Source organism: Homo sapiens, chromosome 16 (genome assembly GCF_000001405.40).
Source record: "Homo sapiens chromosome 16, GRCh38.p14 Primary Assembly".
In the NCBI taxonomy this organism is placed as follows: Eukaryota; Metazoa; Chordata; class Mammalia; order Primates; family Hominidae; genus Homo; species Homo sapiens.
The window spans coordinates 70,029,363-70,042,443 of record NC_000016.10 but is presented as its reverse complement, the minus strand read 5'-3'; the positions used below and the strand labels follow the sequence as shown (position 1 = coordinate 70,042,443).

Sequence of the window (13,081 nt, the reverse complement as noted above, 5' to 3'; positions counted from 1 at the left end):
AACAGCTTTTTCTTTTCTTTAAATTAGAAGAACAGAAGAGGAAAATGGAAAGAAGCTCATATCCAGAGATATTCCAGGCCCACTCCAGGGCAGGTAGGTGGCACTGAGGATCCATACCTTTAGTTAAGGTGTAAATTTTTGTTTGTTTGTTTCTGAGACGGAGTCGTGCTCTGTTGCCCAGGATGGAGTGCAGTGGCGCAATCTGGGCTCACTGCAACCTCCGCCTCCCGGGTTCAAGCAGTTCTTTGTTGTGCCTCAGCCTCCCGAGTAGCTGGGATTACAGGCGTGCACCACCATATCTGGCTAATTTTTGTATTTTCAGTAGAGATGGGATTTTGCCATGTTGGCCAGGCTGGTTTCTAACTCCTGACCTTGACCTCAGGTGATCTGCCCACCTCAGCCTCCCAAAATGCTGGGATTACAGGTGTGAGCCACTGTGCCCGGCCTACATTTTTCTTAAACCAGTGTCTTATCATCATTGATTTATGGTTTTAGTTTTAATGAACACATAGCAAATTTAAATAGACTTATGTGCAGTATAACATTAGAAAACTGAAGTGTCGTTGGCTGGTTGGTGATATTGCCGCACCTGCTGGCTTCTCTCCCTCTCCCATTTGGAATTTAATAGAGGCTGAGTACAGTGGGTCACACCTTTAATCCCAGCACTTTGGGAGGCCAAGGACGGAGGATCACTTGAGCCCAGGAGTTCAAGGTTACAGCGATCTGTGATTGTACCACTGCATTCCAGCCTGAGTGATAGAGACACTCTCTAATTTTGAGACAGAGTCTCGCTCTGTCGCCAGGCTGGAGTGCAGTGGTGTGATCTCGGCTCACTGCAACCTCTGCCTCCCGGGTTCAAGTGATTCTCCTGCCTCAGCCTCCCGAGTGGCTGGGATTATAGGCACCCACCACCACGCCCAGCTAATTTTTGTATTTTTAGTAGAGATGGGGTTTCAACATGTTGGCCAGGACGGTCTCCATCTCCTGACCTCAGGTGATCCGCCTGCCTTAGCCTCTCAAAGTGCTGGGACTACAGGCATAAGCCACCGCACCTGGCCAAAAATTTTTTAGAAAACCAACAATTTAATACAACCTCATGACTCAAAAGTGATACATGGAGCTAGGCACCATGGTGCACACCTGTAGTCCCAGCTGCTTGGGAGCCTGAGGCAGGAGGATGGCTTGAGTCAAGGAGTTCGAGGCCACCCTGAACAACATGGCGAGACCCTGTCAAATAAAATAAAAGTGATATACAAATTCATCATTATAACTGGTGTGTCATACTTAGTTCACTCTTGAAACCTGTCATCTATTTGGTAGACTGAGTTTTATTCTAAGAGGTATTTTAATTTGATAAGATTTATTGTTTTCATAATGTAAATGAAAGGAAAATGTCAAATTACTTATTTTTTGGCAACTGAAGCAAATCTGTCATGTTTGAGTAGCAGGAAAAATAGCAAAAAAGTAAGTAGCTGACTAAAATTTTCACAAGACATTAGCAGTTAATCTGGGATTAGTATCCCAGCCCAGCTTCCCTGAGACAAACTTATTTTTTTTTCCTGTTATAACCAGGAAACTGCACATAAGTAAACAGTACAACTCCCTTAAATATCCTTTGACCTGAATATAGATTGAACCAGGTTGCAAAAGAAAAGTATGGAGGAAGGATCACAGTGTGCCAATAACACGCCGAGATACTAATACTTTAAAACAGTCACTCCTATTCGTAGCATGAATAATGCTGATGTGAAGCTAGGTGTGAAGTGCATTCTCAGCTCAGAACAGGAGGCGGGTCCTATAAAATCTCCTCATTCCAGCCCTACTGATGGAAACCAAAGGTTTTAAGGTTTAGTCTCCTAATTCCACGGAAGTTTTCCCAGGAGAGATACTCCCAGCAGCATCTGTAATTCTCAGCCTTAAGCCACTCACTAGGAGGATTCACACTTAGGAGTGCTACCACCCAGCATTCAAGACTAGTAACATGCCAGGCACAGCTAAGTGCCATACCTTCACTGTCTGAAGCCTCCCAAATCCATAACGTCCGGCTTGGCAAGTTGGAATAGCTTGCTCGAGGTCATGTGGCAGGCAGCCAGTGTGCCTCAAGGGCCCCTGCCTGCTCCGATCTCTACAGTGTCCAAGGCCCAGAGCCCCTCTCACTTGAAGGGCAGCACCTTGGGGACAATTGGTTTGGGGACACTGTTTTGATGGCGCTTCCTTTGTTGAAAGAGGAAACCTCTTTTTAGTCTATTCTCATTAACAGACGAATAGCCCTGCGTTATTCCTGTTGCAAGTTGCCTTGCCATTGCTTGCTACTTCAGCCGTTCGAATTCTTTTCATAACTTTCCATCTCCTCATGTAATGAGCATTTCATAGCAGCGTATCTTGGATAGAAGTAAAATGTTTTTATACTCTAAGCAGATCTCAAGGTTCCCAGCTTGGGGAAGAGCTGGTAATAAATGAAGCTTGCATTGTTAGAGGCTGTTAGTCCAAACGGACAAGATCCCTATGGAGGAAAATTAGATATACCAGTGGCATTGGAGTGTTCTGTGACTGTCTAGCATTATACTATACTAAGGATGATTATATATTGTATTTTATATAATATATTTTATATAATGTATAGTATATAATACACTTATATATTATAAGTACATATTATAAGGACTTTTGGCTCTTATTACATGCTTATTAAATATTCTCTGTCTTGTACTCCAAGATTCAAATGAAATGTGTAGAAATGTTGCTAGAGCAAGACTGGTGGCTGGGCAAGGTGGCTCAGGCCTGTAATCCCAGCACTTTTGGAGGCTGAGGCAGGAGGATTGCTTGAGCTTGGTGGTTTGAGACCAGGCTGGGCAACATGGCAAAACCCTGTTTCTACCAAAAATAAAAAAATGGCTGGGCGTGGTGGCTCATGCCTGTAATCCCAGCACTTTGGGAGGCCGAGGAGGGTGGATCACTTGAAGCCAGGAGTTGAAGACCAGTCTGGCCAACATGGTGAAACCCCATCTCTACTAAAAATACAAAAATTAGCCGAGCGTGGTGGCGCACGCTTGTAATCTCAGCTACTCAGGAGGCTGAGGCAGGAGGATCGCTTACACCCGGGAGGCAGAGGTTGCAGTGAGCCCAGATTATGCCACTTCCCTCCACCTTGGGTGACAAAGTGAGACCCTGTCTCAAAAAAATAAATAAAAATAAAAAGACTGGTGACATTTATTAAAATGAAACTCATAATTAGGTAGAAGATTTATTTAACCACAAGTAAGTTTATATCAGAATTCATTTTATAATTTGAGCTTTGTTTTTTAAAAAGCATAAACTATATACCACGTTCTTTCTCTTATAGTTGCTTAAGAAAAAAAAAAACTTGAAGCAACGCCAGTTGAATGAGGGAAGTAGCGGGAGAGTGGCGGGGGATGTGTGCTGTTCCCATCAGCCCATCAACTCTTTTCATTCTGCAGTGGACAAGATATGGTGAGCATCCTCCAGTTAGTTCAGAATCTGATGCATGGAGATGAAGATGAGGAGCCCCAGAGCCCCAGGTAATGAACCTGGCAGCTTCTCTTTTCAAGTGCATGTGTTCTTGATTTCAGTAGTGATTGCGCTCTGACAAGTTGCTCAAATAAGAAGCTATATTTCATTGAGTTACATATGATATTAAAGCAATCCTTTTTATTTTCAGAAAGACATTTATATTAATATATATTTTGTGAAATGAAGGCATTTATTGAAATTAGATCCCATAGTTTTTATGGTATCATGCCTTAGAGAGGCGCTGGCAGAAGGACTGAAGAGTGAGTGTCGCATGTCTTTCTGCTGCTGTGCTTCTGCTTCCTAAGAATTGCTGTACTTGTATTCATTAGGTATTTAGTTAGTTTTCTCTTTAATTATTTTAAATTTAATGTTTTGAAATAAGTAAAATTGTTCTCTTGGTTCAAAATTCAGACAATAAAAAACGATATACAAAGGGAATTTTCCTTCCTACCTCTATCTCCCTACCGTGTTTTCTTCTCTAGAGACAGACATTACCAGTTTCTTGTGTATTCTTCCAGAGAGATTTTATATGTATTATACACCAGCAAAATGTCTATGCCCACCCTCTCTAATACATAATTACTACGCATATGCTGTGCATCTTGCATTTTTTCACTTATGTCTTGGAGTTCACTGCATATTAATGCACAGGAACTTTCTCCTTTGTCAGAGCTATGTGTTTTACTTTGAACAGATGAACCATATTTTATTTTATTGGTCCCCTGTCATGCTGCACTGTTACAAACATTGCTGCAGCAAACAACTTTCGACATGTGTCACTTCTCATAGAAGCAGGTGTCTGGAGGACAAAGTCCTGAAAGTGGAGTTGCTGTCTCAGACAGTGTGTGCTTTTGTAATTTTGATAGATCCTGCCAAATTTCCCTCCATGGAGTTGCGGCATTTAGCAGTCCCACCAGCAATGTATGAGAGTACTTTATTTCCACACTTTTCACCTGCAAAGGCGTTATCAGACTGAAGGATCATTGATAAGTGATATTCTGATGAGAAATCTGATAAGTGAGAAATGGTGTTTCAGCATAATTCGAATTTGCAGGTTTTTTAAATTATGAACCAAGTGACGTGTCTTTTTGTATGTTTTAAGACCCATTTATATTTCTAGGAACTGTCTGTTGCCCATGATCCTATTAGGTTATTTGTCTTTTTCTTATTATTCACAGTTAACAATTTTAAACTTATTCCTTCTTTTTTACAGTTATTCTTTATAAGGGAAATTAGTTTTAATTCTATATAAAACATTTTATATAATCAATTTTAATTATATATAAAATAATACCTAGTCCCCCATGAATTTGCTGTATTATTGCAATAAATAATTCTTATTTGATGCATAGACCTGAGATTTAATTCTTTTTTTTTTTTTTTTTTTTTTGAGATGGAGTCTTACTCTGTTGCCCAGGCTGGAGTGCAGTGGTGCCATTTCGGCTCACTTCAAGCTCCGCCTCCCGGGTTCACTCCATTCTCCTGCCTCAGCCTCCTGAGTAGCTGGGATTACAGGTGCCCACCACCAGGCCCAGCTAATTTTTTGTATTTTTAGTAGAGATGGGGTTTCACCATGTTAGCCAGGATGGTCTCAATCTCCTGACCTCGTGATCCGCCCGCCTCGGCCTCCCAAAGTGCTGGGATTACAGGCATGAGCCACTGCGCCTGGCCAGGATTTCTTTAAAAAATGCTTTCAGCTCATTTTACCTTAGCTCTACCCTCCACAATTCTTAAGGCTGGTATTTAATTTTTAAAATACTTTAATAGGAAATTATTTTAAAACTGTAGGTACTCAATTTAAAAAGGGCTATTTATCTCCTGGAACTCAAATTATAAAAATATTTTTCTGGCCAGGAGTGGTGGCTCATGCCTGTAATCCCAGCACTTTGGGAGGCCGAGGCAGGTGAATCACCTGAAGTCAGGAGTTCAAGAGCAGCCTGGCCAACATGGTGAAACCCCGTCTCAACTAAAAATACAAAAAATTAGCCAGGCTTGGTGGTGGGCGCCTGTAATTCCAGCTACTCGGGAGGCTGAGACAGGAGAATCACGTGAACCCAGGAGGTGGAGGTTGTAGTGAGCTGAGATCACACCACTGCACCCCAGCCTGGGCATCAAGAGGGAGACTCCATCTCAGAAAAAATATATATATTTTTTCTCCGTCTCAAAAAATAGAAAAACTTCTCACCAAACTATCACTACTGTTTATGCATTGATTTGCCTTCTGGGCCATTAAGTAGATTTCGAGTCTGACAGATATTTCTGTGGAATTCTGTGTCTCTAAGTTCTATGTCCTTTTTTATGGTTTGACTCTAATACTTTAATTTTGCTTAACAGAATCCAAAATATTGGAGAACAAGGTCATGTGGCTGTGTTGGGACATAGTCTGGGAGCTTATATTTTGACTCTGGACGAAGAGAAGCTGAGAAAACTTACAACTAGGATACTTTCAGATACCACCTTATGGCTATGCAGAATTTTCAGGTAAAGACATGATGAGTTTCCAGTGAAGACTTTTATGAGTCGGGTATAGACTGAAAGATCTTTTTTCTGGAGCTGTACTACTTGGGTTCAGATTTCCTTCTCCTTGAAAGGGGTGTTTAACCTCTCAATGTCTGTTTCATCATCTGTTAGATGGGGATAGTATTAATACCTATTTCATAGAAGCGTTGTGAGGATTAAATGAGCTAATGGACTAACGCATGTGAAGGGTGGAGAATAGAAGCACATATGTGTTTGATAGGGTCAGCAGTTATTTATTTGTGGGGTATCTAATTGGCACATGTCAGTAGAAGATAGAGCAATGATCTAGATTCAAATACAGTTGTCCCTTATCCTTGGGTGTCCTTGGGGGATTGGTTCTTGACCTCCCATCCTCACCCTATGGATAAAAAAATTCATGGATGCTCAAATCCCTTATATAAAATAGCACAGTATTTTCATGTAACTGAGGCACATCTTCCCATATACTTTAATCTCTTGATTACATATAATACCTAATACGATGTAAATGCTGTGTAAATAGTTGTTACACTGTATTGTTTAGGGAATAATGACAAGCAAAAAAGTCTGTAGATATTCAGTACAGAGGCACCCATCTTTTTAAATTTCTGAAGATTTTTTACTCATGCTTGGTTTAATCCACAGATGCAGAACCCACAGGTTCAGAGGGCCAGCTGTGCTTTGAAAATATTAGCTTGCGTTTTATTAGAAAGAAAACTCTGAGGCCAGGCGCGGTGGCTCACGCCTGTAATCCCAGCACTTTGGGAGGCTGAGGTGGGCGGATCACAAGGTGAGGAGATCAAGACCATTCTGGCTAACATGGTGAAACCCTGTCTCTACTAAAAATACAAAAAGATTAGCCGGGCGTGGTAGTGAGCACCTGTAGTCCCAGCTCCTCTGGAGGCTGAGGCACTGCACTCTAGCCTGGGCAACAGAGCGAGACTCTGTCTCAAAAAAAAAAAAAGAAAGAAAAGAAAAGAAAACTCTGTCATAAGGAAGATGAATATGTGCTATGAAACTGAAATTTGTTTTATTCTGTGATAATCCTGGCAGTACTAAGGAATTACAACAGATGAAGGATTCAGTAGGAGACATAGGACTAGTGGCATTGGGTTTATGCTGTTACTTTTATGGAGAAGGAATGTTTGCCTAACTTGAGACATTTATCTTGAGAGACCCTCACTTTCAGTGTTGGGAAAGAACTTGGCCAAGCAGGAGTATAAGTTTGCCCAACTTTATTAAAGGAGCAGTGTTCTGTTGTTCTAGTAAAAATCTATTGCCTGTAATTGAAATTGTCCCTCCTCCTCTAGGAGATGGAGCCTCAGCAGATTATAGTAAAACCAAAAGCTAGCCTGACTAGCTTTTTTATTTTTTTGAGATGGAGTCTTACTCTGTCGCCCAGGCTGGAGTGCAGTGGCACAATCTCGGCTCACTGCACCCTCCACCTCCTGGGTTCAAGTGCTTCTCCTGCCTCAGTCTCCCGAGTAGCTGGGACTACAGGCACTCACCACCACACCTGGCAATTAGTAGAGACAGTTGTTTCACCATGTTAGCTAGGCTAGGCTCAAAACTCCTGACGTCAGGTGATCCACCCGCCTTGGCCTCCCAAAGTGCTGAGATTACAGGCGTGAGCCACCACACCCAGCCTCTGACTAGCATTTTTGACAGTTTTATTTACTTTGGATGTTTTAGGGCTGAAACTCTGCTATGAACTATGCCTGTGTTATCCAGTGCTGGCCTTAGTTCATAATAAGCTAGAACCATGATCTTCAGGCTTTTTATATCTGAGAATTCCTGGTCTCTACTTGTTTTCATAGTTTCTGCTCTTTATGGAATTGGGTATGGATGGAGGGTTATTGTCTCGCTGCTTGGTAACCTCAGCTGTAATGAGGTGTCAGCCATCTATGATGAGGATGTTTCACATTCCTGTCCTCTCTGCCTGATAAAAGTGACAATTCCTAGCTTGAGAAAAGAATTGTCTCCATGATTGTAAGGTTGACTTATACAATCCTTAACTAGAAATAAGAGCATATTAATATGTATCTCTTAACAGATATGAAAATGGGTGTGCTTATTTCCACGAAGAGGAAAGAGAAGGACTTGCAAAGATATGTAGGCTTGCCATTCATTCTCAATATGAAGACTTCGTAGTGGATGGCTTCAGTGGGTTATATAACAAGAAGCCTGTCATATATCTTAGTGCTGCTGCTAGACCTGGCCTGGGCCAATACCTTTGTAATCAGGTAATGTGGTATCAGGTGGCTATTTTAAAGAAATAATGTTTTATTTTGTTCTGAAAGTTTTAAAGTTGACCCGTTTGTCTAGTTGCTGTTCTTGTTGAGTGAAAAGAAAGATGGTCTTATATGCTTTTGTCATATTTGTAAAAATTACTGAATTTAGAAATAAGGAATATGTGATAGATTACCCAAGGGCATCCACAGTCAACATTTTCTCTTTTTTCCCAGACTTTAATCGAAGGGGGTGTGTTTGTGTTTATATGGTTGTATCTGGCTCTTTTCACTTACTGTTAAAACAGGAATATATCATTTTAATAATAATTTTTCAACGTATAGTTTATTTTTAATGCCTTCATGGTATTTCTTCAAGTGAATATATAGTAATTAACTGTTGCCTTTTTGGACAACTAAGAGTGTTTGCATTCTCTTGCTTTCTGTGACCATTTTCACGTAATGTTCTTTGTGTAGTGCTGTTAAGGACTTCTCTGTGCATAAAGCTCTTCCTGTATTTTATTTAGGGTTATGGTCCTCAGATGGATTTTCAGAGTCAGTCTAGAATTGCTGGATCAAAGAGCATGACTATTTTTTTTTTGTTTTTTGTTTGTTTTTTGTTTTTTTTGAGACAGAGTCTTGCTCTGTCGCCCAGGCTGGAGTGCAGTGGCGTGATCTCGGCTCACTGCAAGCCCTACCTCCCGGATTCATGCCATTCTCCTGCCTCAGCCTCCCAAGTAGCTAGGACTACAGGTGCCCGCCACCACGCGCAGCTAATTTTTTTGTATTTTTTTTAGTAGAGATGGGTTTCACCGTGTTAGCCAGGATGGTGTCGATCTCCTGACCTCGTGATCTGCCCACCTCAGCCTCCCAAAGTGCTGGGATTACAGGCGTGAGCCACCGCGCCCAGCCGAGCATGACTATTTTTAAAGTTCATGGTGCTTCTAGCCCAACTGGGAGGACTACATCGAGATAAGACACTGTTAACCGTCTTTGCCAAGAACGTTTAAAAGCAAAACCGTAGGGTTGGAGGATTCCTCTTTTGTAAGCTGTAGGAGTCCCAGGGGGATGTATGGGAGACACTTAGTGACTTTTAAATTGATTCTGAGCTGTGATCACTGGTGTTAAGAAATTATGTCCTCTTCTTGAGGGGTGTACAAAATGGGGAGTTTAATAATAATCCTCTGAAACGTGAAATGAATTACTTAGTGTCTACTGCATGCCAGGCTCTTGCGGACACAAGGCTGTTTGGGGACAACAGTCTAACCTTCAAAAGATGTGTAAGAGTGTTCTGTTGGGAATGGCAGCAGGCAGAGCAGCATATATAAGATGGTTATGTTCACATTTTTTAAAGTGTGTGTATCCTTTATACCTATGTTTTTGTACCTAGAAAAATACGTAAATTTATACCTAGAAAATATCTGAAAGGTTATGTATTAAACTGTTAACGGGGTGGATTGGTGGCTTATAGGGTAGGGGGCTAGGCATTTTCACTTCTAATACCTGTGTTTTTTTTTGAGGATTTGTTTTACTTGGGTGTCACGTTCATAATTTTTAATCCTTTAAGGAGAAAATGTGCTTATTAAATTTTTGGTCTCTGAATGCTACCGAGTCTTAGTCATACAGAACAATATGCTGCAACTGTTTACAATTCCTAAAACTGTAAACTCCTCAAGGACTTGGAGGCTAAACATGAAGAATATAAAATTAAGTTGACAATCACTGTCTCTGTGCATAACACTGACTTCACTTCTCTTGAGAAATGTGCATCTGCTAATCCATATTTATTACTTTTTAGGGGTGGGTGAACCCATAAATAAGATACTGTTCTTTGAATGCCTTTAGCTGGTGTTATTTACCAGTAATGCTTGGAGAAAGAATCCAAAATTACCCCCACTAAAATGCTCACGACCCAATTGTTTCTGTGTTTGTCAAAGTGTTTCTGGTATATTCTAGAATATACCAAAGATAATTACTTGAATCATTTAGAAAATTTTACATTATATCCTCTTATAAGGCACTTGGAAATTCACCCTTTTTTTTTTTCGGCTTGGCTTTCTAAATGTACTTTAACATCAATTTATAATATTAAGAGTTCCTAAGGAGAGAGATTTCTTAGAAGAATAATCGTGGCTTGTCTTAGAGCCACAGCCTTTCACAATCTGAAGTGAATGGTGCAGAGAGCTTTCTTGTCAAGTCGTATGTTTCTTCCTGCAGCTCGGCTTGCCCTTCCCCTGCTTGTGCCGTGTACCCTGTAACACTATGTTTGGATCCCAGCATCAGATGGTGAGTTCTACTTTTGGTTTGTAAAATCATGTGGGATTGTGTTTGGAAACTGCCTTTCAAGTGAAGTTCTTTTTGCTGGCCTCCAGATAATTAGTAACTTACTGATGTATTGCTTGGACCCTTGCATTGTGTAATATATGCTTCTGTTAATATGTGAATGTCCATGAAGGTTGGTTGGTATATAGGTCAGGAGCACCTGGCTTTTAAGGAGTCTTGTAATTACTGTATCGCCTGCTTTAAGTAGAAACATGGCAGCTCAATTAAGCACCAGAAATTTCTTCTGAAGCTCCTACTTTTAATGAGTTAGCACTGTTGCCTGGATTTATGAATGGGCAGATTTTGAAAATGAGGTTCTTCATTGTCATCGTGGAATTGAGTTCTGCTTAATTTCAGACATGCAGGTGATAAATCTCTCCTTAATGATTCCAGAAGGAAAAGGAAGGGATGGATTTTAGAGTTTTTTATTTCTTTTGTCAAGGTAGTTTTATTTTCTAGTTCAGGTACATCAGTGAGTAATAGTAGAGATACATTCATGGCTGTTTTAGGAGAGTTAAGAGAACATTTCATTTAAATGTAAATGTTTAAAATCAAAGAAATGTTCCTGCATATGTACAGTTTTTACCTTTAATCTTGTTTAACTGATTTTTCTAGTCTTCAAGGAAAACTATTTGATTTTCACATCTATGATGAGAGAAAACAGAAAAATTGTCAAGAGTAAGAATTGATTTGACATTACTTTTGAGAGTTATCTGCTTCTTTTGCAAGTCATAATTTTTCATTTTATAGCTTTTATACTAGGCACCTCATTTTTTAATGATTTGTTTTGGTTCCAGGATGTTGCCTTCCTGGAGAAACTGATTAAAGATGATATAGAGCGAGGAAGACTGCCCCTGTTGCTTGTCGCAAATGCAGGTAGGTAGCATGATGCTGAATCTACCATTTTGAATATATAGGAGCGAGGCTACATCCTCAGCCTATAAAAGATAAAGTCTTAAGAAATGTGTGTGTACCACATGTTTAATTAAGATAGTCCATGTCCACATTGTAGCAAAAACTGTAATAGTAAGGTTGGCTCGTTAGATTTTTCTTTAATCGTTGGTTTGTTTTGGAAGTTATTTTATGTGTGTGTATACTTTTTCATTTAGATTGTAAATGCTTCTCTATCTTCTCCTTCATGTACTTCTTTTCCCTGTTCTAAACTGAATTTTATTTTATTTTTTTGAGACAGAGTCTCACTCTGTTGCCCAGGCTGGAGTGCAGTAGCACAATCTCACCTCACTGCAATCTCTGCCTCCCGGGTTCAAGTGTTTCTCCTGCCTCAACCTCCTGAATTGCTGGGATTACAGCTGCGTGCCACCACATCTGGCTAATTTCTTGTATTTTTAGTAGAGACAGGGTTTCACTATGTTGGCCAGGCTGGTCTCGAACTCCTGACCTCAGGTGGTCCGCCTGCCTCAGCCTCCCAAATCGCTGGGATTACAGGCATGAGCCACTGTGCCTGGCCTGAATTTTTAAATGACACATTTAAGCCAGGTGTGGTGGCACATGCCTATAGTCGCCCTACTCAGGAGACAAGCAAGATGCTGGCTTAAGCCCAGAAGTTCAATACCAGCCTGGGTAACATAGCAAGACCCCATCTCAATAAATAAAAATAATTGTACTGACATTGTAAGATTGTTGTAAAAATTAAACAAGAAAATTCATAAAATGTCACACTTAAATATCTACCTTATAGGCGGCAGAGCAACTACCACTTGCTGCTCCACTTATCTCATTCAGCATCATACTTGAAATCTAAGACAGTGCAATAAGGTAAAAAAAAAACTGACAGATTAGAAAGGAAGAAATAAAACTTTGTTTGTAGGCATGATTGTATAGATAGAAAACTAAAGAAAAGCTACTGGAACTAATGATCAAATCTAAACCATTTTCTGGATTTTTATATACCAGCAAAGAAGAATTGGAAATTGAATTTTAAATGTCATTTATAATAGGATCAAAAAAGATGAAAAATTTATGGATAAATTTAACAAAATATATGCAAGATCTGTACATTGAAAACTAAGAATGATACTGAGAGAAATTCAAGAAGACCCAAGAACGATATGCCATACACATGGGTTGGAAGACTAAGTATTAAGTCAGTTCTTCCCAAACTAATCTGTAGATTCAACTCGATACCTCTTAAAATCTCAACAGGCTACAATTTCTTATAGAACTTGATGAGCTAATTCTAAAGTTTATATAGAAATACAAGGGACCTAGGAACAGCCCAAAGAATTTTGAAAAAGAACAAAATTGGAAGACTTACCTTGTCATACTTCAAGACTTCTGTAAAGCAGCAAGTAAGATTGTGTGAGATTAACCAAATAAAAAAGAGAATTCAGAAATAGACTCATGTGAAGTATATGGACATTTCAGGTTTTTACAGATGCCTGAGTAATTCGAGGGAGAAAGGACAATCTTTTTACATCAGTGGTCTTAGAGCTTGGATATCCATATGGAAAAAAAACTGAATCTTAACCCTTATCTTATTC

The 13,081-nt window shown here is 40.0% G+C and overlaps 1 non-coding gene and 2 pseudogenes across 2 annotated transcripts in view; 2 read left to right on the top strand and 1 right to left on the bottom strand.

Moving 5' to 3' along the window:
- The window catches only part of PDXDC2P-NPIPB14P (PDXDC2P-NPIPB14P readthrough, transcribed pseudogene), an 89,652-nt pseudogene that overhangs the window by 23,505 nt on the left and 53,066 nt on the right, over nt 1–13,081 (top strand). Inside the window, exons 3-8 of the transcript NR_003610.1 lie at nt 28–93; nt 3,459–3,539; nt 5,866–6,012; nt 8,084–8,273; nt 10,476–10,544; nt 11,378–11,456. The product of NR_003610.1 is annotated as a PDXDC2P-NPIPB14P readthrough, transcribed pseudogene (transcript). The remainder of the gene's footprint in view (nt 1–27; nt 94–3,458; nt 3,540–5,865; nt 6,013–8,083; nt 8,274–10,475; nt 10,545–11,377; nt 11,457–13,081) is intronic.
- Nucleotides 1–13,081, top strand: part of PDXDC2P (pyridoxal dependent decarboxylase domain containing 2, pseudogene) — a 54,947-nt pseudogene that overhangs the window by 23,505 nt on the left and 18,361 nt on the right.
- On the bottom strand, nt 12,022–12,098 carry MIR1972-2 (microRNA 1972-2). Its single transcript, NR_036265.1, has one exon. It is a non-coding gene; the product is annotated as a microRNA 1972-2 (primary transcript).